Genomic DNA, 27,666 nt, shown 5'->3' on the forward strand with positions numbered 1-27,666 from the left:
CTTTTAGACTCCCCAACTTGATTATCATAGGGAAATATGATTATTGCAGAACGTTTATAAATTATTAAAAAGTATAAAGCAGCATAAACAAGTTGCCCATAGTCCCACCACCTGTAAGCAGCCTAAGGTTTTGACATAATCACCTTTTATTGTATTTCTCTGTATTTTTAACGTGTCTTTCTTTTTTCCACTCTATTTTCTGTCAACATCTATAGGGCAGACCCACTTGTTAACATTATGACTGTATTGCATTTTAGGGCAGGAAGAGAAGTAGTCCACTCGCTATTTCTGTTTGTAGATCCCCATTTACCGTTCTTTTCTTCCATCCCAGCAGCTGAGAACCTCCATCTTTTCGTTGATGTTACTTGGTAACATTTAGGGCAGGAGTATGAGGAGCTATCCCAGTGTTTTTTCTCCTGCAGCTCCACTGTTTTTTTGTTTGTTTGTTTTTTCTTTGAGACGGAGTCTTGCTCCGTCGCCCAGGCTGGAGTGCAGTGAAGCAATCTTGGCTTACCGCAACCTCCGTCTCCCAGGTTCAAGTGATTCCCGTGCCTCAGCTTCCCAAGTAGCTGGGATTACAGGCATGAGCCACCATGCCCAGCTAATTTTTTTTTTTTTTTTTGTATTTTTAGTAGAGAGAGAGAGAGAGTTTCATCATATTGGCCAGGCTGGTCTCGAACTCCTGACCTCAAGTGATCCACCCACCCACGCACGTTGGCCTCCCAAAGTGCTGGTATTACAGGCATGAGCCACCACACCTGGCCTCCTGCAGTTCCATTCTGCTTTAACCTCTCTTCTCCTACTTAATACGTGAAAATTATTTACAGCTCTTATTTAAAAGATTTTCTCTTATCTTTGGTTTCTTTTACAGAATCCTCTTCTCACTGTCCTCCAGCATTTCCTGTGTGAATGTACCATACTATCTGAGTGTGTTCATGTGCCTTCATTTTTCCATACATTCTGAATAGGGTCCATGCTTTTGGATAACTTTGGACTTAGCAATTCTTCCTTGTCTTACAGCTTGGACTCATATAGTCATAAAGAAGATGCTTCAGCATTTCCAGGAAAACGAGCCTTAATTTCATTTCTTTCCTGGTTTGATTATTGTGATCAGCTCATTAAGGAAGCCCAAAAGGTTTGTAATTTTTTATTGTTTTTTGATCATTTTAAGATATAAATATCTATTAAGTGAAATTGGAATCCCTAATTTATATCCCAAATACATTTTAATTGTCTTAGAATACCATGGTTAGTAAAATAAGTAAACAAAAAAGTGTATATGTGTTTGTATGTGTGTATTACAATTCCAGAATAAATCAAAGTTCAAGTTCTGCCCTTTTATATTTCCTTAAATATTATGGTACAGTACTTTACAAAGTAACACTGATTTCCCTTCAGTCCTGCTCTTTGGTGAGATGTTAATACTATATGGACATTGGAATAATTTTTCATCCTATTCCTCTTATTCTTGGAAATTTAGAAAAAAGTGTAAATGACCCAGTAGCCAACATCTAATCTAGATTTATATGCCACCAATAAGAGGGTCATTAGGCAAGTTTTGTCTTTCCACATTAATTCAGTTGGGAGTCCAAACTGATTTATTGATGTTACAAATTAGTCTTTCTTTTATATTAAAAAAAAAAATGATGTTCCTACTATATTCTAGACTGCTGCTGTTGCTCTTGCCAAAGCTGTTCATGAAAGATTTTTCATTGGTGTTATGGAACCTCAATTAATGCAAACGTGAGTAGCCTGTTTTCTTTTGAAAAAAACCGCATCACTGTGTCATGTTATTTTTGCCCACTGACTACCTGTTCATTGTGCTCAGTTCTGAGATGGGTATTCTCACATCCACTGCTCTGCTTCATCGCATCGTTCGGCAAGTGACCTCTGATGTTTTGCTTCAAGAAATGGTGTTTTTTATCCTTGGAGAACAGAGGGAACCAGAAACTCTGGCAGAAATCAGCAGACATCCTTTAAGGCATAGGTTAATTGAACATTGTGATCACATATCTGATGAGGTAAGCTACGTAATGATTTAGAATTGGACTTAGATTCTTTGAAATACGGTTTTAATGTATTATACTTCAGATATTTTCAATACAACCTCTTTTATTGGCTTTAGAAATTGAAAGCATGACTCACAAGATGGTAAGAAGAGTAACTTATGTAAAGACATTTTTCAGTTAGCTTTTATCAATTTTGGTTTCAGATAAGCATAATGACATTACGAATGTTTGAACATCTTTTACAAAAACCCAATGAGCACATTCTTTACAACTTGGTCTTGAGAAATCTTGAAGAAAGAAATTATACAGAATATAAACCTTTGTGCCCAGAAGATAAAGATGTGGTAGAAAATGGATTGATAGCAGGAGCAGTGTAAGTTTCCATCCAACTCCGTGAGTTCAGCATTTCATGTAGAGATAGAACTTTCTCTCTCCTCTTATCTACCTCCCTTATCCTCAAAAGAAATACCTCTTACAGTTTAAAAGTTCTTAAAAGTAAAATTAGATGCATTGATACTACCATCCTTTTACATTACAAATAATATTGTGTATTCATTAGACCCAATAACAAAATAGTATAGAATGTTAATTTGCCTAGAAAATATACATAATTCCTTAATCCTTTATATTAGCAAAATTATGTAACATTTTCTAAGAACATAGCAGAGAATCTTTTGGTTTAGAAAATGTCATAATAAAATAGTGCTTTTTATGTGTCATTAAATTTAACTTAGAGATCTGGAAGAAGATCCATTATTTACTGACATTTCACCAGAAAACACTTTGCCAAACCAAGAGTGGCTTAGTTCTTCACCTCCTGCTACTCCAGACCACCCCAAAAATGATGGAAAAACTGAAGTTCATAAAATTGTAAATAGGTGAGTTGCTATATAAAATTTGACTTCCATCTCTCTTGTTTTTTGTTTTTGTTTATTAGTATTATTATTTTTTGAGATGGAGTCTTGCTCTGTTGCCCACGCTGGAGTGCAGTGGCACGATCTCTGCTCACTGCAACCTCCGCCTCCTGGGTTTAAGCGATTCTCCTGCCCCAGCCTCCCAAGTAGCTGGGATTACAGGCTCCTGCCACGTCACCCAGCTAATTTTTGTATTTTCAGTAGAGACAGGGTCTCACCATGTTGGTTAGGCTGGTCTCAAACTCCTGACCTCAAGTGATCGGCCCGCCTCGGCCTCCCAAAGTGTATAACATGTAAGAGCTCTGCTCTTAGGTGGTTACAGAAATCTCTTATGAACTTGATCTTCTTTAAAGATTATGTCAGTTTTTTGGTCTTGCTTATGTAACAAGTGCCAGGCTGCGGGCAACACTTGATACTAAGAGAAAAGCTCTACTTAATATTAACTGTGGTTAAATGAACCCTCAAAGTTCCCTCCCCCACCTTTTTTTTTTTTTTGAGACAGAGTCTCACTGTGTCGCCCAGGCTGGAGTGCAGTGGCATGATCCCTGCTCACTGCAACTTCCGTCTCCCGGGTTCAAGCGATTCTCCTGCCTCAGGCTCCTGAGTAGCTGGGATTACAGTCGCATGGCTACTACGACTTGACCTCCCAGAGTGCTGGGATTACAGGCATGAGCCACCATGCTGAGTCATCCCATTTTTAAAAAATATAAATGGTTTAATTTTAAGTAATTCCCAATTGTAACAACATTGAGAATTGCTGGTTTGATAAGATGTACTTATTAAACATGTGTGCTAAGTGTTGGGCTATTCCTTTTTGTTAGTTCGTGGTTTTATGTTTTTTTAAAAGTGCCCTTTTCTGTGGCAATTTTTTTTCTCTCTTTTGCTTCCCTTGCAGTGTTGTCACTGATATACCTGGTTCTGGCAGGTGATTTTAGAGAAAAATTGCATGTGGCTCAAGATGCAAAATTAGGGTACATAAAAATCTCAAGTTCAATTACTTAAAACCAGTTTCCTGAGATTAACAAATATCATGGCAGTCTGTCATTATACAGCAATCTGAAGAGGAAAAAAATGTCTTTCTTAGGCTTACTTCTATTTTAAGTGGAATTAGTCATTTTTAAAACCTTTAAAATAATGAGAATATTTAATCAATGAATTGTAAAACTTATCAGGAATTAACAACATATAATTTCATTTCTCGGGTTTCCATTTGTATTAATACTTAGCTGAACTTACGATATCACTAGATGCTTTAGTACTTATAAAGTTATTATTGAATTATGAGAGTATTGATTATGGTCTTTTTCACTTCTACTTTTTCCTTTTTTTTTTCATGCAAATGGACATCTTGCATAATTGTGGCCGTTTTCATTTAAGTTTTCTCTGTCTGGTACCGGATGACGCAAAATCCTCCTACCATGTTGAGGGCACAGGATATGACACTTACCTCCGAGACGCTCATAGGCAGGTAGGTGAAGTCACTAAATGTTGGAAATGAAATCTAAGAATAGACACATGCACACCCCTTGTCACACTGCCCACCACCACTGCTCCAAGGAAATGACTTCATTCTTATTAAAAATGAGACCTGGGCCGGGTGCAGTGTCTCACACCTGTAATCCCAGCACTTTGGGAGGCCGAAGCGGATGGATCACTTGAGGTCAGGAGTTCGAGACCAGCCTGGCCAACATGGTGAAACCCCGTCTCTACTAAAATACAAAAATTAGCCAGGCATGGTGACAGGCGCCTGTAGTCCCAGCTACTCAGGAGGCTGAGGCAGGAGAATCGCTTGAACCTGGGAGGTGGAGGTTGCAGTGAGCCAAGATCGTGCCTGGGCAAGAGAGCAAGACTCCATCTCAAAAAAAAAAAAAAAAAAAAAAAAAAAGACCTGGTCTCTGCTATAACTACTTTTGCTTTGTGCAAGTGACTTTAGTTTGCACTTCACCGATTGTGTGTCTCCATCTCAAGATTTCTTTGTGCTCTTTAATTTTTTCCCACTTTAAATTATATCTCACCCGGATCCATTTCTCCTACTGATCCAAAACATGATACCTTAATAATTCTACCCACCATGCACCCTTGATCCTCATACACAAGCCATTATCCTTTTCTCCTTCATTCTGATGCAGACAGTGATTCACAAGTATAGTCCCTCTGCTGCCCAGCTCTCACTCCTTCAGCCCCGGAATTTCACCTTTCTACCTCACTCAAACGACTTGCTCAAAGGTTTGCTTCTAAATTAAGGAGACTTTTCTCATTCTTCTTTCCTCTTTATAGCATTTTACATCGTAAGATTTTAAAAATTGTATTAAAAATTCCTCCTGCAAAGAAAACTTGTATTGAGATAAAATTCAACGTTTTAACTATTTTAAAGTGTACAATTTAATGTTTTTTAGTATATTCACAATGTTATGCAACCATCATCACTATCTAATGCCAGAAGATTGCTATCACCCCAGAAAGAAACCCGGTACAAATAAAGCAGTCACTTCATATTGACTTCTCCTCCCCGCCAACCCCCAGCCCTGGCAGCCGCTCATCTACTTTTTGTCTCTATGACTTTGCCTTTTCTTGACATTTCACAAAAATGGAATCATACTATATGTGACCTTTTCTGTCTGGCATTTTTTACTCAGTGTAAGGTCATGTTTTCAAGTTTCATTCAAGTTGAAGCATGCATCAGTACTTCCTTTTCTTTATGGCTGAATAATATTTTATTGTACGGATATTTTGTGTATCTGTCAGTTAATGGACATTTGGGTTGTTTCTAATTGTTGATTATTATGAATACTTATGCTGTGAATATTCCTTTTTTGTTGAATACGGGTTTTCCGTTTTCTTGGGTATATGCTTAGTAGTAAAATTGATGGGTCACGTGGTAATTCTATATTTAACTTTTTTGAGGAACTGCCAAACTGTTTTTCACAGTGGTGGCACCATTTTACATCACACCAGCAGTGTATAAGGGTTCCAAGTTCACCATTTCCTTGCCAATACTTACCATTATTCTTTTTAAATTTTAGCTACCCCAGGAGGTGTGAAGTGGTGTCTCCTAGTGGTTTTGATTTACATTTCCTTATGACTAATGATGTTGAGTACCTTTTCATATGCTTAGCAGATACTTGTACTCTTCTCTGAAGAATATTTAAATCCCGGCCAAGTGTGGTGTCTCACACCTGTAACCCCAGCACTTTGGGAGGCCAAGGTGGAAGGATCACTTGAAGCCAGAAATTTGAGACCAGGCTTCACAATCCCATTTTTACAAAAATTTTTTAAAAAAATTATCCGTGTGTGGTGGCATGCACCTGTAGTTCCAGCTATTGGGGAAGCTGAGGCAGGAGGACTGCTTGAGCTCAGAAGTTTAAGGCTACAGTGAGCTATGATGGTGACACTGCACTCCAGCCTGGGCAACAGAGCAAGACCCTGTCTCCAAAAAATAAAAAAAATTCCTTTGCCTGTGTTTTAATTGGGCTATTTGTCTTTTTATTGTTGAGTTGTAAGAGTCCCTTACATATTCTGCATAGTAGATCCTTATCAGATACATTATTTACAAACATTTTCTCCCATCTGGGAGTTGCCTTTTCACTTTCTTGATAGTGTCCTTCAACACACAAAAGTTCTTAATTTTGTTTTTTTGTTTGTTTGTTTGTTGTTGTTGTTTGGAGACAGAGTCGCGCTCTGTCATCCAGGCGGGAATGCAGTGGCATGATCTCGGCTCACTGCAACCTCCGCCTCCTGGGTTCAAGCAATCCTCCTGCCTCAGCCTCCCGAGTAGCTGGGATTACAGGCTTGTGCCACCATGCCAAACTAATTTTTGTATTTTTAGTAGAGATGGAGTTTCACCCTGTTGCCTAGGCTGATCTTGAACTCCTGGCCTCAAGTGATCTGCCCACCTTGGCCTCTCAAAGTGCTGGGATTACAGTTATGAGCCACTGCACCTGGCCAAAAGTTTTTAATTTTGATAAAGTGCAACTTAACTATTTTTTCTTCATGCTTTTTGTGCCGTACCTAAGAAATCATTGCCTAACCAAGATTACATAGATTTTCACCTAAGTCTCTTTCTAAGAGTTTCATAGTTTTAGTTTATCCATTTAGGTCTTTAATCTGTTTTGAGTTAATTATTGTATATAGTGTGAGGTGGGGTCCAGATTCATTTTTTTTACATGTAGACATCCAGTTGTCTCTGCAGCACTTAGTGAAAAGGGTATTTTCCGTGTATTGACTTTAAGTGTAAAGTTTATTTGAGGACTCTCAATTCTATTCCACTGACCTATGTACCTGTCCTTATCCCAGCACCACCCTGTCTCGGTTACTGCAGCTTTGCAGTAAGTTTTGAAATTGAGAAATATGAATCCTTCAACTTGCTTCTTTCTCAAAATTGTTTTGGCTATTTGGAGTCCCTTGTAATTCCATATGAATTTTAGGATTACTTTGTCCATTTCTGCAAAAAAAAAAAAAAAAAAAAAAGCAATTGAAATTTTTGTAAGGCTTACATTGAATTTGTAGATTGATTGGAGAAGTACAGCCATCCTAACAATATTAAGTTTTCCAATTCATGAACACCGGATGTTTTTCCATTTACTCAGGTTCTTTTTAGTGTTATTCAACAGAATTTCATAGTTTTCAGTGTACAAGTCTTGCACTTCCTTCATTAAATCTATTCCTAAGTATTTTATTCTTTATTGTAAGTGAAATTATTTTGTGAACTTCATTTTCTGATTGTTCTTTCCAAATGTAGAAATACTGCTGGTTTTGTGTATTGAGCGTCTATCCTGTAACTTCGCTGAACTCGTTTAAACCACCTCCCACCCCCCACCCCAGCCCTGCCATTTCAAACTTTCTCCTTTCTTAAGGCTTCTGCAGCATCATTCTTTGCTGCTGCTGCTTTTAGGTGTCAGGTGTCATTTTTACTCTGTCCACCATATTATGATGTGGCCAAAAAACCAAAAATATCTATCAATGGCCCTCTTTTCTATCTTCATTCCTTTGATATTCTTTTGGTTTAACATTCATTCTGTCATGAATTCTCTATCTGAGGTGTCCCCAAAGCTCTAGCCTCAGCCACTTAGGTGTTCTTCTAAGACCTCAGACTTTATCTTTCCAAAGCAGAACTTATGATTGATGCCTTTAAAACTGCATCTGCTCCTTTGTTTCCTGCTGTGGTCAGTGGCATATCCATCCTCCTGGTCATTCAAGGTTTGTATTTCAGAGTTGCCTGGGATTCATTCATCTTCTATTCTCCTTAGCCTCTAGTGTATTGCCAAGTTGTATCAGTTTTGCCCCTACTATATCTCTCCTGTCTGCCCCTTCTCCATTTTTGCTTTTTGCTTTCAGAATCCTAGTTTACATCTTTATTACCTCTGCCAGATTACAGTAGCCTCATAACTTGTTTCCTCAGCTTGTTCCTTCTGCTTAGAAGCCATTAACAGATTAATCTCATTGAAGTGTGGATCTGAGAACCCCTTCTTTATTAACTCATAAAGTATAAATACTTAGACATCAAATCTTAGAATTCAAGATCCTTTCGGATCAATTTTCCAGCCTGCTTTTCTATATTTCTTACTATGACTTTCACTTGCTATCCAAATATAACATTTACGTGCATTTATTGATGCTATTCTGTTTGCCTACAAGGTTCTCCTCTTATTTCTCACCCACCATCTGATATCTATATTTCTACACTGTCTTCAACATCCAGATTAAATGCCAGCTCGTGATTTATTCTTTTTACCCTCTTCCTCCTCTCCCTTCCCAACAGTAAAGGTAACTACTCGTCTTCATGCTCATGGCATTGTCTCTAATCTTTTGTGGTCCTTTGTGTTTTCTTTCTTGCCTTGGGGTTATAAGGTAATAGTCAGTCTCTTGAGGATAGGATTCATGCTTGATTTACCATTAAATCCCTCAAAATATGTAGCTTAGAGCTTTATACATTTTACAATATCAGTAACTATTTAGTATTTGTTGAATAAATAACCAGAATAAAATATTTCAAAATTTGAAAGAGAATTTTAAAATTTACATAGTCTAAATTTTAAAAATTCTCAAATCTGAAAAATGTACATTTAATTTGTATTTAAATTCTTTGTATTGAAGTATCCTATTATATATAACTAATCTGCATATGCACATAGTTAATTCATAATACTTTAAGTCCACATTAGTACATGAATTTGTCTGCATTAATACATGAATAAATTAATGGAGTAGCAAGTAACATTCAAATAACAATAAAGTAAAGACAATAAAAGTAAAATATATCTTTTGGCAGTACCGATTGGATTTTTAAACTGCTTTTATTCTTTCTGTAAAGTTTCATTTCCATTTTGTGATTACAAATGCAGTTACAATTGTTTCAGAAATATTAGAAAAACCAAAAGCTATAAGAAATTATAAGTCAGAATATAAGAAGTGTTAATGTAAAAATGATTTCTTAAAAATTGAGATTTGGGCCAGGCGCGGTGGCTCATGCCTGTAATCCTAGCACTTTGGGAGGCCGAGGCGGGCAGATCACTTGAGGTCAGGAGCTGGAGACCAGCCTGGCCAACATGGTGAAACCCCATCTCTACTAAAAATACAAAAATTAGCTGGACCTGGTGGCTCATGCCACTGCACCCGACCATTTTCTGTTTTAATTTCAGGTAATTTCTAAACTAGAGAAGTCAAAGTAATTTTGCTTTATTAAATAAGGAGAATCTGAAGAGGGAAGGAATATAGAAGAAAACAGTGCTTTAAATTTCTTTTGTTTCAATTCAAGTAAATTACATATTGGGGGAGACTTTTAAAATTCATTTTTATTATATGAAATAATCTTGTGCTTATAAATATTCACACTGTTTCACTGATAACTATCTGTAGTGAAAGACCAGGGTTTTTTTTTTTTTTTTTATTTCCAATCTGTCACAGACCAACACTTTTGTAAAATGCAATAAAAATGAATTCCTGGCCAGGTGTGGTGGCTCATGCCTGTAATCCCAGCACTTTGGGAGGCCAAAGCAGGCAGATCACGTGAGGTCAGGAATTCGAGACCAGCCTGACCAACACGGAGAAACCCCATCTCTACTAAAAATACAAAATTAACCAGGCGTGGTGGCACATGCCTGTAATTCCAGCTACTTGGGAGGCTGAGGCAGGAGAATCGCTTGAACCTGGGAGGCGGAGGTTGTGGTGAGCCGAGATTGTGCCATTGCACTCCATCCTGGGCAACAAGAGCAAAACTCCATCTCAAAAAAAAAAAGAATTCCTATTGTAGAAAAATGAAGAGAAAAAAAGACACAAAATACAAACCCTGATTATTTCATAGTTAGATTCAACAGACATAAAACTCTTCATAGTCAAATTGTTAGGAACGTTTTTAAGTGCTTGCTCTTGCTTTTTGTCCTCATCTCATTGTGGACGGTAGTGAACACTTTGAGGACCAGCACTGGTCGATGGACCACCTTTGAGTAGCACTGTTTGATCCTATCATAACATCATGCCTAGTGTGCTAGTTTGCATCCATTCTAGGAATGGCAGGCTTGTCTTCTCAAATAACATGTATCAGTTCATCTGTGGTATATACCATTTTAGAATAAATTTGAAAACTTGGCTAGGTCTGACTTTGCTTTTTAAATGTCCTCTAAATCGGTGATGAAAGTAACTAAAGAGTTAAATTCCTTTAAAGGAAAGAGCTGTTAGGGGTATTTTAGTAAAGTTAAAATATGTCTCTTTTTCATCAGCTTATATTGGTAGCAGCAGTTAATATAATCTTACCTGTGCCCCTAGTCACAGAAAGATCTGAGTCATCTCTTCCCCCTCTCCCTTGGCACCTGAAGCATAGCAGACATTCTGCATTCAAATGGTTTTTTATATGCCTATTTAATGAAATCATTTCTATTTCATCTTAATTTGTTTTTGTTCTTTAATGATTCACATGCTTTTTTCCCCCTAGTTCCGAGACTACTGTGCTATCTGCTTAAGATGGGAGTGGCCTGGGTCTCCAAAAGCATTGGAAAAGTGCAATTTAGAAGCTGCTTTCTTTGAAGGTCATTTTTTGAAAGTGCTGTTCGACAGAATGGGAAGAATTCTTGATCAGGTAATACATTTTAAAATACTAATTTTCATATTTTTTTTTGCCATTCACCACAGAATCATCTCAAGTCTTAGTAGATCTTCAATAAAGTACTTTTATTGTTTTCTTACTTTTTCCACTGGATGACTTTTTCATGAAGCTTGATTGCCAACAACTGGCAGATTTCTGATGCATTCTGTATGTTAAAAACATTTATTTGGCCTGACAGCTGCTTGTTTATTTTACTTCTCATGATAGGCCATTGTCTTAATATCCTTAACACATTTTGGAGATGATTAGGACTGCTTTTCTTTTATGACTTGCTTAGCCTTTTAGTTAGTACATTTAGTACAAATACAGATGCTCAATTTGGAAGACCTTAAATGTCATTTCAGATTGAATCTTGAACACTGGTCTCAGTAAAATCACAGAATAGTGTTAGATGAACCTGGCTCTTTAGACAAAGCTTGTAAACGATACTCATTTTCATAAGGGAGAGGTGAAATAGAAAAGGTTAATGTACTCCTTTAAAGGTGGATAAAAATCACCATCAGCTGATAAGTTGCTATGTACATCTCATCTGACTGTTAGGAGAAATAAATTTGGGATTATGGAATCCCTCCTTCCATCTCTCATTGGCTCATAAGCTTAGTGATGAGAGAGCTTTGAAATGCTTGACTCATTAGAATCTAAACCTGAAAGAACACAACTAGCATAGTACTTTCCTCAGTGTGGAAACTGAGTGGACCAATTTGGAATTAATTTTCAACTGTATGTTAAAGTACGTGTTCTTTTTTTAGCATTTTAGTTAAATATTTATGTGAGCATAGGGAGTTGTAAAAGAAATTTACTAAGTAGGCTGTCTTCAGTAACTAGAAAGTCAAATAAAGAAATTGTAATCTAAGAAGTATTTCACTATGTTAGAGTTTAGTCAGCGTTGTTTCTGACGGTAATCTCTATAAGAGACCAGGTCCTTTTTTTTTTCTTTTTTAACCTCTTAATAGCATTCGCTGTATTTCTAGTGTTGCTTGGTTGGTCGTTTTAAACCTGACAACCAAAGTATAAAAATCTGGCTATTAATAGGTATTGTGGCCTCACCTCATGGCTGTGTAAACCTCCTGGGTAGCCAGGATGCATCAGTTTATTGTGGTTTGTTTTTTGTTTTTGTTTTTGAGCCAGTTTGCTAGGCGTAGTTTAAATCAAGCTTGTTGCTTGATTAAGCTAACAAGCAAGAGGTAATAACAATGAGTATCAAGACAGTAATGTTTAGGAATTTTGACCGAAAGTACTAAAAAGGAATCTAAATTTTAAAAAGTAGTTTCTGAATTGAAAGATCTACCCTGAATCTTCAACCTTGAGCACTTTTTCTCTAGTTTGTGGAGTGCTGGCACAAAAGGATACATTGAAAACAGAATATCTGAAATACTTAAAATACTTTTCAATTTCACCAGATAGCACTTCATAGCACAGCGCTGATTCATAGACTGTTTCAGTCATTCTTCCTGTAACCGTGTATCATAGGCAAGAGAGATTTCTAGTATTATTTTACAAATGAGGAATCTTTGGTTTCAGTTATGTGACTTACAGCTGGTAAGCTATGGAGCCCCGTCTGAAACCTTTTATCTTTAAAACTCTTGAGCCGGGTGCAACTGTAGTCCCAGCTACTCAGGAGTCTGAGGCAGGAGGATTGCTTGACCCCAGGAGTTCAAGGCTGTAGGGCGCTATGATTGTGCCTAAGGATAGCCACTGCACACTAGCCTAGGCAACATAGTGAGACCCCGTCTCTAAAACAAAATTAAAACACAAACAAAAAAAAAACCCTTGATTTTCAAAGCCTTTTGGGTAAGAACGTGGTATAGTCTGATCTCAGAGATAAAACACAAGTCCTAGAAAGCTAAGCATTTTTGGCCTAGTTTTACTTTCTTTCCTAAACATTTTTGCCGGAAGTGATACTTGCTTGTAGTTTCTTTTTTTTCTTTCTCTCCCTATTTCTTCTTCTTTTTTTTTTTTCTGAGACCGAGTCTCGCTCTGTCACCCAGGCTGGAATGCAGTGGTGTGATCTTGGCTCATTGCAACCTCTCCCTCCCGGCTCAAGCGATTCTCCCGTCTCAGCGTCCTGAGTAGCTGGGATCACAGGTGCACACCACCACGCCTGGCAAATTTTTGTATTTTTAATAGAGATGGGGTTTCACCATATTGCTCAGGCTGGTCTTGAACTCCTGACCTCAGGTGATCCACCTGCCTCGGCCTCCCAAAGTCCTGGGATTACAGGCATGAACCACCACGCCTGGCCTTCTTCTTTCTTCTTTTTTCTTTTTCTTTTGTTTTTCTCTTTGCAGGGCATTTTCTTAGTATAGATTCCTAATAGGGTCTAGGTAACTTGACTGAGATTAAAAATTTAATATGAATAGTTTGGCAAGTGGCTAATGTCTTCATGCATAATTGAGAACTTACAGTATCAAGTATTCATAACACTATTGTGTTATCACAATGCTAATTTGAAAAAATTCATAATACAAACATTTACTATTGTTTGTAACGGTGGTGATTTTAAAAAGATAGTAAAATACTAAAGCCCATAGCAGAATGTAAAGAACACTGGGAACATTGTAAGGAGGCCAAATCTTGTCCCTGCCCTGAGCATGATGAGTTTGAATTTGATCAAGTAACTTAGCTACTTGTCACATTTTCTAATTGTTAAAGTGAAGTTGATATTACTTTTTTAAGTCAAAGTTTATTATCTCAAAATTTGAGTTCAGTCCAAAAACATGGGCCAAGTCCATTTGTCATGTCAGAGAAATCTGGCTTGCTTTCCTTTCAGGTAAATACTGTATAAAGTATAAAATAAAGGGACCTCAAGTAATAGATATAAACACTTAACTACCAACAACTTCCAAAAAGGCTAGCTTGTTTTAAAGTTATTACCAATAGGAAGTAGAGACCATTTCAGAGTACAGTGAAACAAGTTTATCTTGTTGAAATTTATTTTCATTTTTACTACGTTGAGAAATAATCTGTGTCAGCCTTAAATTTCTTAAGCAACCTATGACCTACATTTATGTTAAAATAAACTACAAACCAAGGTAACACCACACAGAGAAAATACAAAGTCTAAATAGTAATGTATTTGTTTAAAGCCAAATTGTACTGATTTATTTATTTAAGCACCTGCAGATGGCGAAATTTAGTGACCTAAAAATCTTAACTACCTGCAGTGAAGAGTCATGTACAATTCTGGACTTAAGTTGTATTTTAAATTTTTTCTACTTTTTTTTTTTTTTTACTAAATGCATTCTTTTAAATTATTTTTTGTAAATGATTCCTTCATACCTAAAATACAATTTAATGTGAATTCATTGTTTATTATGAGTTGAGTCTCAGAGAAGGCTATTCTGTTGCAAATATTATCAAGGGAGGAGGAATGGAGAGAAGTTGGTTAATGAGTCCAAAAGTACAGTTAGAAGAAATAAGTTCTAGTATTCAGTAGTACAGTAGGGAAATTAGTTAACAAAAACGTATTGTATATTTCAAAGGAGCTAGAAGAGAACTGTGATGTTCCCAACACGAAGAAAAGATAAATGCTGGAGGTGATGGATGTCCCAGTTACCCTAATTTGGTCATTACACATTACACATTGTGAAATGTATCAAAATATCACATGGACCCCCCCCAAAATAGGTACAATTATGCTATATCAATAAAAAATACCCAAAGCCCCCAAGTATTACCAAGTAGGAGAATTTACTCTTAAACTATCCTTTACTGGGAATACATATTTCCTTTCAATTACCTTGCTTACAGCTAGGTTTTGAAAAAAAATAATAAATGACTTGGAGCAGTTTTTAATTCTTTAAAAAAATCCATGTTCATGAATCTAGTAGTAAGTTAGAAAGACTAAAATGGGCCTTACAGCATAGGACTTGAGAGTTTCTGTTTATGTAACAAAACATGTTCATCGTAGCGTCTGTAGCTGTGGTGATTTTCAAAAGATAGTAAAATGCCGAAGTCTGTAGCAGAACTGGCGTGTGCCCGAGCATTCTCCACTGAATGCCAGAGATTGACTTCCTCATTGCTATTCACTGTGATCAAGGCTTTGCAGGTTGTTCAGTGGCTGAGAGTGAAACATTCCGCTGTGCTGGCTGATGTTGCACTTGGTCCTGACTCCCTCTTCCCTCCACTGTGCTGCAGTGTCTGTCTCACTCTTGCCACCTGGGTTCTCTGCAGCCTCCTCACTGTAGTTAGTTTTGTTGCAACCAATCCGTTTCCTTTGGCTGCTTAGAAGAAGCAAACTGGAAGGGGTGAGAAGTTTCTATTGAAAGTTCTGAGCAAGTAGTAGCAACTCCTTGTGTAGTGTGCCTTTTGCTTTGTTGACATGACTCTGTAAAGCCCCTTTCTGTGAAGAATAAACAGACAATTAGAATTCAAGTAAAATCACGATATTACATGTAAAACAAGTGTGAGGAACTGTACACAGATATACAGTTGTTTGGAGAAAGTTAATACTCATGCAAGAAATGAGATGATCCCTCTCTGTAATCACCATTTTGAACCTTCTCATCCACTTTGAGGCATAGGGTCGTCATCAGTTCTATCCCCAAGTACTTTCATTTCATTCTGGTGACAAGGTTCTGTGATTCGACTTTATTTTACTGTATGTGTTTTTGGGAATTGGCAGTAGTTGAATAATCTGAGGTGAGGAATATCACTTCTAAAATTACTATATTTAAAAAGGTGTAATATCTTCCCATCTTGTTTTTTGGTCTTATGCTCAATGGGTCCTCTGTAATTAATATTATATATGACACACTGGTGCTTTTTTATGACCCCTTGAACAATTTCATTAATTGAATCAACCTGCATAAAATAAACATTCTGACTCTGTCACATATTTGTCTTTATATGTTTATATATTTTTTAAATCTTTAAAGTTTTAGGCCTGCAATATATGTAATTTGAGATGATGAGAGCTAGTTTAGTTGTAGATATTTTCATTGCAGAAGAGCATGCGCAGCAGGGAGGAAGATGGTGGATTCTGCTTTCTTTTTTTTTGTTTGAGACAGAGTTTCGCTCTTGTTGCCCAGGCTGGAGTGCAGTGGCGTGATCTCGGCCCACTGCAACCTCCACCTCCTGGGTTCAAGCAGTTCTCTTGCCTCAGCCTCCCAAGTAGCTGGGATTACAGGCATGTGCCACCACACCGGGCTAATTTTGTATTTTGAGTAGAGACGGGGTTTCTCCATGTTGGTCAGGCTGGTCTCGAACTCCCAACCTCAGGTGATCCGCCCGCCTCAGCCTCCCAAAGTACTGGGATTACAGGTGTGAGCCACTGGGCCTGGCCAGATTCTCCTTTCTTAAAAGAACAAATTGAAATAGTAAATTAAGCACACCGGTATACATTATTTTTAAATGTCTTTCTGTTTTTTATCTCTCCATAGCCATATGATGTAAACTTACAAGTAACCTCAGTGTTATCTAGACTTTCTCTCTTCCCTCATCCACACATCCACGAGTACCTTTTGGATCCTTACGTGAACCTCGCTCCTGGCTGTAGATCTCTCTTCTCTGTAATTGTCAGGGTGAGTTACTAGTTCTGTTATATTCCCTAGGATTGATAAATCTGTGCAATTAATATGTTAATATCATTGTATGCAGTTAGTGTCACATAATGAAAAATATATCTACTGCTTAAAAGTAATTATTATACATTCTGAACTACTATTTTTTCAATTATTTTAAATAATATGTAACTTTTATTTTAAAGAATTAGGTATGAGTCCTTGGTTAAAGATGATTATATGAGTAGTGAAAGTTTACGTTCTTTATTAAATAGTAGGGAAGGAAGATTTTTCTTTTTAGATCCTGAGGTTGTCTGTGTAGCTGATTTCAGGAACTGAAGTGCCTTGCCTCTGTGATGCAGGTTGTTGGAGACCTTATGCTTCGAATCCAGCGTATTCAAGACTTTACTCCCAAGCTTCTGTTAGTCAGAAAGCGGTTACTTGGTTTGGAACCTGAAGGCCCTATGTAAGTTAGTGTTTTACATTTTTTTAATCCAAAAATTTCAGTGAACTTAATGATCGGCTGCTATCTTGAATTGATTTATTGTCTGTTTTTTCCTTACCAGTATTGACCACATCACACTGCTAGAGGGTGTGATTGTGTTAGAAGAGTTCTGTAAGGAGCTGGCGGCAATCGCATTTGTAAAATATCATGCTTCCTCCACACCATAAATAACATCTTTCATGTAACTGGGGGAACAGAACTACTGTGTACATTTCACCAAAAAAGACTCAGTTCCACCCAGCCACAAGAGGATAAAAAGCCTTTTTAAACGCAGTATTGCTGTAAACTGGACAGAACCATTAAGAACCTATTGAGTGGACATTCTTGGTGAAATGTTGTATAATGTTGTTTTCATTGGCTTTATCATAATGGTTCTATATATACAATTGCACATTGTTGAATCCAGGATACAATCAAAGGAACTTCAGGAAATAAGCATTTCTAATGACTGTGAAAAGCTGCAATATTTCCAATGTCATGACTTTGATGATATTTCTGTTATATTAATGTCCTTTTAGGTAGCAAGGCATTTTGACATTCTCTGGGACTCAAATGCTTGTATTCTTTTGGATTAATAAGTAGCAAAAAAAAATCACTAATTTTATAACTTTTTAAGGTCAGAATTCTTATCAAACAAAATATGAAAACTGTAAATGAGAAAAAAATACAATTCAGAAACCATTGAATGAATTAATTATAGGCGATAAAAATGTGTAGAGCACCATTAACTTTCTTCAGCTTTTTTAAGAATAACAATTTAATATGATAAATTCTTGATTAATATAATATATCTATATTTTTAAAGAAATGTTCTTTTACTCTTTTGTGCACATAGCCATGTTAGTGATTTTCTTCATGTGTGGGTCCCAGTTTATTTAAACTGTGTCGTTTTCGCAGCAGTGTTCAATTTGCTCACCATTGGTAGTGTTTGCTAAAATTGTATTTTTTTAAGCTAAGTAACATGTACTGGGTTGAGAACCTTTTTCCCCCCTCTCCCTCTCAGAAAATTGCTTTATAAAATTGCTTTATAATTTGATTTTCTTACTGAAACGCATGGTGGTGTCTAGGTGGGGAACTGACTGATAACCCTTGGCAGCAATCAAAGTGCCAGTGGCTCCTCGATGTTTACATTTTTTTCTATTTTGTTCAGTCTTTTGTTTTAAATGATTCTAAAGAGATTAAAGAAAACAGAGTTTTAAATGTCCTATTTACATGTTAAAGGATTTGGGGAAATTGGGTATGTATGTGAATGGGTGTACATGTAGGAACCTGTAGTTCAGCAAAGCTGCGCTGGGCACAGCATGCTTGTACTTGATTGACAAAATCGTGTTTGCCAGTCCACTTTCTATTTTTCCTTTAAGTGATGCTGATCACTCAAATAATGCTTTTAAGCTATTGTTTGTTTTTATTTGACATGTTAAGCCGCAGCACTTTCTTCTTCATCTTTCCATTTACTGATATTTGGGGGAACAGGCTATCAAAGGTTCCGGCTTGAAGGGAACTGTCACTACCCCCTCTAGGAAGTTATTTTATGTAGCATGTTTGCATATACGCATTGTGTGGCATGTGCATAGAGGCTTGTTTTACACCTATCTGCTCATTTTGTTGTGTTAGCTTTTCTGGTTTATTTCATAGTTTGTTCTTGCTATTTATTAAGAACAGAATATCAAAAGATTATGAATAGCCTCAGCTCTAGAATGCTTACCACTGTTAAAACAACAAAAAGACTAAACCTCTAATTTCATGCAAATCTTTGTTAGCTTATTCTAAGAAATTTATTAAGTAAAACAAAGAAAAAACAGAAGTGGGAGATAGTTATTTTGTGCGTAATTTTCTTTAAATCATTTTGAATGATGTGAAGGCATTCAGTTTGCTGTATTTTTTTAATCACTTCATACAAGGAAAACTTCGACATTTACATTTCTAGATGTAGTAACAGTCTACTTTGATATATGAGTATTTAAACTAAGGCATTAAGAGATATTAGATATTTCTTAATGTTTTCATAGTGCTCAATAGGTGTAGTAGCAATGATATTACCTCTGAAACCAAATACTCTTTTATCCTTGATTCCACTATGGGACCTTATAACTAGTCCATGAAACCAAGCTCAGAAAAGCTTTAACTCTTATATTTGTGTATATGTATGCTGCTTCTGAAAATATAATTTTTCTAAGTTGTTGTAATGACTTTAATTTGTAATCAGCTAAGGCTTAAGATTTCATTTGTTTCTAAGTTTCTGTTTTTCATCCCTTCTTTTTTCTTTTATATTTAGTTCAGACCTAGAGCCAGTAGAAGCTCTCACAGTGAGTTCAATTTGTTAGTGAAACATTGTACTGCATCACCAGTTTTTCTTACCTTCTGTTGACAGCTGAATATTTCTGTTACTCAGTACTTGCAAAAACAGTAACTAAAATGCACTATGCTGAGTGGAAAGCACCGTCATAACAATTGATTGCCATAGCAAGTTCCAAAGTGAATTTCAGCCTTGCTTCACATTTGTATCAATAAATATGCACATTTTTTAAAACTTTCTAACAATATAGTCTTTGGATTTGTTTTTAGTTATGAGCCGCATTCTTTACTTGATAGAACTCAGATTTGTCTTAGCCTATTGCCATATAGTACTCACCTTATAACTATGTAACTTTCTCGTAATGTATCTGTTTGTGCAATATGGAAGCTGTGAGTGGATTCATAGCTTTTTGGTTTAATTGTACATTATTGTGTGTGTATATATGTATATATGTATATATATAAGGACCAAAATTCTTAGCTCGCTTACACTGTTGCTAGTGTAAACATTGTTACACTTAATTTTACAGGGCACAAATTATGGAATTACTTCATAAATTCATGGTAATGTTTTCATAAATTATTGCATTAACATACAATTGCCATTTAATTATGAAGTCCATCAGTATTGACAGAAGACGTTACAGTGAAGTGCTAAAACCACACTATATGGTAATTATATTTTGGGTTATGTAGTAAATCAAATATGCATGTCATTGTGACACTTTATGTGTTAAAACATGGTAGATAATCACATTTTCTGGGCCCTGTAAAATAGTGTTACTGTAATACTCTGTTTTGCCTCCTGCCTTGTTTACATTAAACAGGATATTTGGTAAATTTTTTTGTATTGAAAGTTGTGTAGGTTACTGACAGTGTTACCAGCGTCTGGAATTCTTGGTCCCTCCGTGGAGAAACTCTTCAGATGGTCATTGTGTACCTACTCTCTCTTCAAAGGAAGTTGTGATCAAGTTCAACTTTTTGTGCTAACAATGCATGCAGGACTAAGAGGGATGATCTAAAAAATAAATAATGTAATTTAAACAAAACGTCTTATGTTTTTGTAAAATTCTAATTGGGAACATTTTATCCAATGATAAATCTCAAACAATTTTTAACTTTTTGCACCCCCAGCACACAAAGGGATATGGCACCCTACAATCAGTGGGTCTCTATAGTATTCTAGGGAGAGAACAAAAAGCAATGTATCTATTTGTGGAGGAGAGATGTGTAGCTTGAAAAATTCCCCCAGGAAAACCTCCACTTCCCTTCTTAATAATCACTGCCCAAAAGGAAGGAATGTTTATGCACGTCTCAAAAACAATTTTTTTTTTTTTGAGGCAGAGTCTCGCTCTGTTCCCCAGGCTGGAATGCAATGGCATGATCTCAGCTCACTGCAACCTCCGCCCCCTGGGTTCAAGTGATTCTCCTGCCCCAGCCTCCTGAGTAGCTGGGATTACAGGTGCCTGCCACCATGTCTAGCTAATTTTTATATTTTTAGTAGAGACGGGGTTTTACCATGTTGATCAGGCTGGTCTTGAACCTCTGACCTCAGGTGATCCACCTGCCTCGGCCTCCCAAAGTGCTGGGATTACAGGTGTGAGCCACCGCGCCTGGCCCAGAAAAACAATTTATTCTAAGCATTATTTCTTAGTATTTTTCTAACATATATAAAAACTTTTCTTTTTAGCTGACACTTAAAACAATTAGACTCTAGACTTACCCTGTTCACTTGAGTATTTGCCAGAGGTTCTGAATTGGAAACAAACATGTAATACACAGCACAGCCAGAAAGAGAAAAATCCAGTGATTAATCCCAACTACCCGAAGATTCTTTTCAAAATCACTTTAGACGGAAATAAAGATGATAGGTTGAAAGGATGGAAGAGGCAAGGTTTAGACATTGAAGAGTTGAAATCACCCTCCTTGCCCTTCAAAAGAAGCTACTTCAAAAGAAAACTGTGTTTTGGGAATGCATAATTGGATCCCCAGTCCAAAACCTGCTTCAAACTGTTAAGAATTTAGCAGTGTTTTAGCTGGAAAACTAGTAATCCCAAGGGAATTTAAAGAATTAACATAAAACTGTAAAAGTTGAAGTTTTGCTAGAGTAACTCTCAAGTAAAATCTATACCTCTTTTCAAAAAAAAAAAAATAGATATAAGCAAGCAGAAACACTGCATGTGAGTTTGTTTAATGCTGAATGATGCAGAAGAAATGGAGTGTTTTATAGTTGTTCTTATGGCAATAAAGTTGTCACCTAGGGACTACCTTGCAGAAAGTCAGTTTTTCTGTTTGTTTGTTTTTTTTAATTTATTTTATGTTCCGGGATACACATGCAGGATGTGCAGATTTGTTATATAGGTAAACGTGTGCCATGGTGGTTTGCTGCACCTATCAACCCATCACCCAGGTATTAAGCCCCACATGCATTAGCTATTTTTCCTGATGCTCTCCCTCCCCACCCCGCCCCCAGCACAGGCCCCAGTGTGTGTTGTTTCCCGCCCTATGTCATTGTTCAGCTCCTACTTATAAGTGAGAACATACAGTGTTTGGTTTTCTGTTCCTGCGTTAGTTTGCTAAGAATAATGGCCTCCAGCTCTATCCATGTCCCTGCAAAGGACATGATCTCCTTCCTTTTTATGACTGCATAGTATTCCACGGTGTATATACACTACATTTTCTTTATCCAGTCTATCATTGATGGGCATTTGGGTTGATTACAGAAAATCAGTTTTTAACTTTATTTGGTAATATACCCCACTACCCACCTCAGAGAGATCCATCTAAGCCTGTTTCATTCACACTCACTACTCATTGATTGGACTATTGTGGGCATTAGAAATTTCTCTGTTATATCATTTCTAAAAATGTATCAGAAATAGGACATCCACAAACCAAACAAGAATTTTGTTTATTTAACACATATTTCTCAAGAACTTTCTATGAACCAGGTATTAAGGTGCTAGGAACACAAAAAAATGATTTCGGCCCTAAAGAAGTCAGTCTTGGTGTGGTGTTTACAAAAATAAATTATAGTGCACACTGGTGAACACTGTTAGAGAAACGAGACCCAAATGGTGTGAGCCCCAGGGAAAGGAAGTAAGATGGCAAATCATCTAAACAGGAAGATCTGAAACTCAAGCCTTGCCTGAATATTCTTACTTTTAAGTATGTTATATATGTATTATTCTTACTTTTGGGTTATAGTCTTACTTTTGAGATATGCCAGATAGTCTCAGAAGTTATAACCAGAACAGACGCCGGGCGCGGTAGCTCACGCCTGTAATCCTAGCACTTTGGGAGGCTGAGGCAGGCAGATTACTTGAGGTCAGGAGTTTGAGACCAGTCTGGCCAATATGGTGAAACTCCATCTCTACTAAAACTACAAAACTTAGCCAGGCATGGTGGCACGTGCCTGTAATCCCAGATGCTCTGGAGGCTGAGGCAGGAGAATCGCTTGAACTGGGGAGGCGGAGGTTTCAGTGAGCAGAGATCACGCCACTGCACTCCAGTCTGGGCAACAGAGTGAGACTCCATCTCAAAAAAAAAAAAAAAGAAGTTATAATCACAACAGAGTCAACCTAGCAAGAAACTTCTGCATCCTATTGTATTTGCCATGCTTAACTGTGGCCTTTCACTTCATTCTGATGTTGGTATAAAGCACTAGCCCAAAGAACAGTGCTTTGGGCCCATATTTTCTCAGCTGATGAATAGCAATTAGCTTGTGATTTATGATCTCTTTCTAAGACTATTGTATAGTGAGAAGGCACATAGTCAACTGAAATACTAAAACCAAAAGATTAAATTGGACTTTTAAAATGACCCAAAGATTAGGGGTAAGATTTGGTTCAGCTAAAGCATTTGTAGAACCATGCCTTTCTCCTTACTTTTAACTCAGTACTCTTTTGACAGCGTTCTTTATTGTCTCCTGGTTTGGGGCACAAAGCAGCTTGCATATCCAATTAAGAGAGAACCAACCTAGGCTGATGGAGATGGTGGAGATGAATTCAGAAGCCACGTGCCAGATGTGCATGGAGAGATAGGATGTGTAGACCTCCACTGGGTTATCATCCCACAACTCCCCCCCATTCCTGAAATCTAAGCCTGGAGTCAGGCTAGAAGGCAGGTGGACAGGCCAGAGCTCACTCCTGCCAGGGAGCAAGATCAAGAGACTTCTGCTGCCTTCATACCTAGTCTTCTTGAGGTGGCTTCAAGGAATTACCTGATTTCCCAAGTATGAGTCTAAGGAGTTAAAATTCAGTGTGCTTTATAATTTTTTTTTTTTTTTTTTGAGACAGGGTCTTGCTCTGTCACCCAGGCTGGAGTGCGGTGGCACTATCAGCTCACTGCAGCCTCAACTCAAGCAATCCTGCCTCAGCCTCCTGAGTAGTTGGGATTACAGGCAGGTGCCACCATGGCCAGCTATTTTTATTTTTGTAGAGATACAGTCTCACTATATTGCCCAGGCTTATGATTTTATATGATGACCTTCCTCTTCTCTCTAGTTCAGGGGTCCCCCAACCCCCGGGCCACAGACCAGTACCAGTCCGTGGCCGGTTGGGAACTGGGCTGCATAGCAGGAGGTGAGTGGCAGGCGACCACCTGAGCTCTGCCTCCTGTCAGATCAGCAGCAACATTCAATTCTCGTAGGAGCACCAACCCTACTGTGAACTTGCATGCGGGGATCTAGGTTGTACGCTCCTTATAAAAATCTAACTAATGCCTGGTGGATCTCAGGTGGAACAGTTGCATCCCGAAATCATCCCCAAGTCTGTGCAAAAATTGTTTTTCATGAAACCAGTCCCTGGTGCCAAAGAGGTTGGGGACCACTGCTCTAGTTGGACTAGTCAATATATTGAGGAACTGACAGGGAGTCTTTAAAAAAAAGTGGGGGGAATATATATATATTTTAAATATTAGGTAATACTTTAGACTTCTCTTGATTGAAGAACCACAACCTTACATGAAGGTAAAACCCCTAGCAGACTGCCAGAAATCTAAATACCACCATGGGTCACTTTGCTCTTATATCAGAGGGGAGAGTAAGGGGAAAGGGAAGATATCCTTTGAATTTTGTAGCTGTAAGTTCATAATGGTACCCATGTTGTGATGTGCATTCATTTGCATCGTGATCACACTATTAATTTCTTCCAATGATGTGCTAAAGTTGTCCGGGATGGTATTCAGTTTAGAGGATCCAAACAAGCCAGGAACATGACCTGGGTCTGACAGCCACTCTTTTTCAAGGCTGAGAACTATAATCATAATTGCAAGCTGAAGAGCTAGATGTGGTTCAGAAAAAAGAACAAGAGACACACCCAGCCTGTGAGATTAGGCAAGACAAGCAAAAGCATCTCCAAGGCTGTTATTGCCTCAGGCCTGTGATTTATGAGTAAGGAATCATAAAATCAATTTTACTATAATGCAGAAAGATGAGATGACATACAAATTCACTATACTCTGGATAAAGCTATATTTCAAATCCCTGAAGATGAGACTCATTTATATAATAACATGAGAAATGTATTCCTTATTCCACTCACAAGTAGAATAGCATGTAGGGTTTTAATTGATTAGATTTCCCAAGAGAGCCATGTACTGGAGATTTCTAGGGGAGAAACAAATTAGCCATTCCTTAAACATTATTTTTCCATGTTTAAAGTATGCTCTTCTACTTAAATCTCTTTATCCTGTTGCTCTTATCAACAATGTAGCAAGTCACAGAGCATTTATGGTTCTATATTCTTTGTGGGCTGCTTCAATTCTTTGTCCTGTGATCTTTATTTCCATTTTGTTTTAGAAATGATTAGAAAATAGACCATCATTTTCTTAAGCTGCGTTGGTGTTGGGCTCCCACAGAAATGGAATTGAGAAGAAAACACCTACTTTTAAAATAAAATATTACCTCATTAGTAATGTAGCTTGGACTCCTTGACAACAAACAGGTTCCATTTCATAAAGACTTACATTTTCCATAAAATGATCCAATGTCATGCAGCTTCAAGTAAGCCTTTCTCTGAAAATACTGTTGGCAACAGTACATATGACTCATTGGAATTTGGGTTCAAAACCACATCCTAAAAATAATAAAAGCTATAAATGCAAACGTGCATAGCAATTTCTGGGTGTTTTTCTTTGGAATTTGACATTGAAATAAAAATAATTTTGCACAGTTCTTAATGGTTGGAGTCTTTTCATGCATAGCATATAATATAATTTATATTCATTGAGCTGAGTATTTCAAAGAAATTAGTCAGAAATTGCTGATATACATCTTGCGAAGTAGTGTTGCTCATTATCATTTTCATTTCAATGGAAAGGAAAAGACTAGGGAAGTGTAATTAATTTGACATAGATAATTCTGGGCTGAGCATTTTAATATCAACACCATTTTAAGGCCATTATTAAAATTTCTTTGTCCTCATTGTACAGCTTGCCATTGCTATACTCTGATATAAGACCATTGTGTTTTGGCCCTTCCTCCAGTGATCTGTGTAATCAATCATTCAACTAATACCATTAACTTCTTCTAACAGAGATGCTGACTGTCAACCTTATTAGGTTAAGAAAGATGTTGGATAGGCGCAAATGCTGAGTTTTTCTGCTGATTCCTGTGTTATATTTAAAGACCTTGCTTTTATCTACAAACTCTTCAGAAATCCTTACATCACCATGGAAGCTGATCCCTGCCTCTTAACAATGATTTTAAATAAAATATATATATATATATCTTTTACAGGAGCAGTTAAGCTCCCCTCAGTACCTCTATTCATCAAACCACTGACAGTAAGAGGCTACTCCACTTACACAAAGGCAGGCTCTACTCTCTTGACAGGACTTTCCTAAATGATCCTGCTTGGAGTGTAAAAAACTTTCCAGCTAGACACATAAAACACTGTAATTGAGTGCTGGTTTCATAAATGTTGAGGTCTGAGGTCCAAAATGTATTGTATTGTTGCAAGGCTACAGTAGTAACATCATCCGTGATGTTCAACAGATATTCACTAAATCTTGTAGGGCTCTGACGAGGAGAGGGGATTTCAATAAAGTCCCTGTCTTGGAAAGGTTTGCTTTTTAAAGTACAAGGGATAAGGCAAGTTCAGTGGGGCTTACTAAGCTCTTGTCCTTCTGTTCCAAATCCACTCCTCTATGTACTGCTTTGTGTTGCTAGGCTAGGACGCTACAAACTACATTTCTCCTTTGCTAACTGGCTTTCTATTACATTTGGTTAATAAGAGGCTCCAGAGAAGGGGAACAGGAGGAGAAAGAAGCAACTTCCTTCCTTTGACGTTATTGTTCCTATCTGTATCACCTCAGCAATGGGTCCATAGCAATTGATTTTAGCCTCCACATATATATATATATACACATACATATACATACATATAATTTATTTTTAATTGTATGTACAAATATATGTTTTTAAATATGTAATATATATACTGTTATATATATATATTATATATATATACACACATATACACAAACACACACATTTTAAACTGCGTCTCTGTTGCTATGTTGCCCAGGCTGGAGTGCAGTGGAACGATCATAGCACACTGCAACCTTGAACTCCTGGGCTCAAGCAATCTTCCTGCCTCAGTCTCTCCAGTAGCTGGGACTACAGGATCATGCCACTGAGCCTGGCTAGGCTCTGTATTCTTTAAATCCTCCTAGAACCAGCCTCCTCTGGTCTCAATGCAGCAACAGTAGCATGGCAGGCCCCCTCTCAGAGACCAGAGTTCTACATTTCTAGGGCCCTGGCCCTAAGCTTCTAGCTCTGCAACCCCAGCCTCTTCCCTTTGTTCTGTCAGCCCCAGTGGTAGTAGCTGCCTCCTGGGTTATTATTTCTGGATGATCTCAGTGAATAATCCATTTTCCTCACTCAGCCTTCCAACATTGATGTAACCAACTCCCATATGAAATTCCCTCTGCAGAAACCTCTATTACATAATTGCTATTTTCCTGACTAGACCCATCTCAGTGGCAGCATCTTCCACTGTTAACCCCAATCTAGCGAGGGGATCCACCACAGAGCTTTCCAGGGAGGCTGGTACGCCCCTCATTAATATATTTCTTAGTACCTCAGAGAAGAGATTGTCACCTGCACCCCATCAGGAGATATGGCTGGGTGTTCATGCCCCCATGTAATTTTGCATTCCTATCTCCCTAAATCTATGGATTGTTTTTTCTACATTACCCCGGGAAGTTCTGTCATCTCAGCTCACTGAATGTAGGCCACCAATAAATATATTTTATTGACTCAACTAAGAAAACTGTTAGAGCCACTTCCAGTTGGATGAGCTAACACAGTAAGTCCAGACTCTGATAAGTCCGCCCAAGT

The 27,666-nt window shown here is 37.5% G+C and overlaps 1 protein-coding gene across 2 annotated transcripts in view; it reads left to right on the forward strand.

Moving 5' to 3' along the window:
- FHIP2A (FHF complex subunit HOOK interacting protein 2A) overlaps positions 1–27,666 on the forward strand; it is a 78,053-nt gene that overhangs the window by 22,567 nt on the left and 27,820 nt on the right. The window contains exons 8-17 of one of the 2 annotated variants that reach the window (NM_020940.4): positions 1,021–1,135; positions 1,667–1,743; positions 1,829–2,021; positions 2,213–2,382; positions 2,744–2,887; positions 4,301–4,391; positions 10,851–10,994; positions 16,403–16,543; positions 16,885–16,988; positions 17,089–20,371. In NM_020940.4, the coding sequence (NP_065991.3) occupies positions 1,021–1,135; positions 1,667–1,743; positions 1,829–2,021; positions 2,213–2,382; positions 2,744–2,887; positions 4,301–4,391; positions 10,851–10,994; positions 16,403–16,543; positions 16,885–16,988; positions 17,089–17,194 (1,285 nt within the window). In that variant the 3' untranslated portion in view covers positions 17,195–20,371. Of the gene's footprint in view, positions 1–1,020; positions 1,136–1,666; positions 1,744–1,828; positions 2,022–2,212; positions 2,383–2,743; positions 2,888–4,300; positions 4,392–10,850; positions 10,995–16,402; positions 16,544–16,884; positions 16,989–17,088; positions 20,372–27,666 lie in introns of those variants that run through there. The other variant, NM_001135051.2, reaches the window with a different exon arrangement.

Source organism: Homo sapiens, chromosome 10, assembly GCF_000001405.40.
Source record: "Homo sapiens chromosome 10, GRCh38.p14 Primary Assembly".
Lineage (NCBI taxonomy): Eukaryota > Metazoa > Chordata > Mammalia > Primates > Hominidae > Homo > Homo sapiens.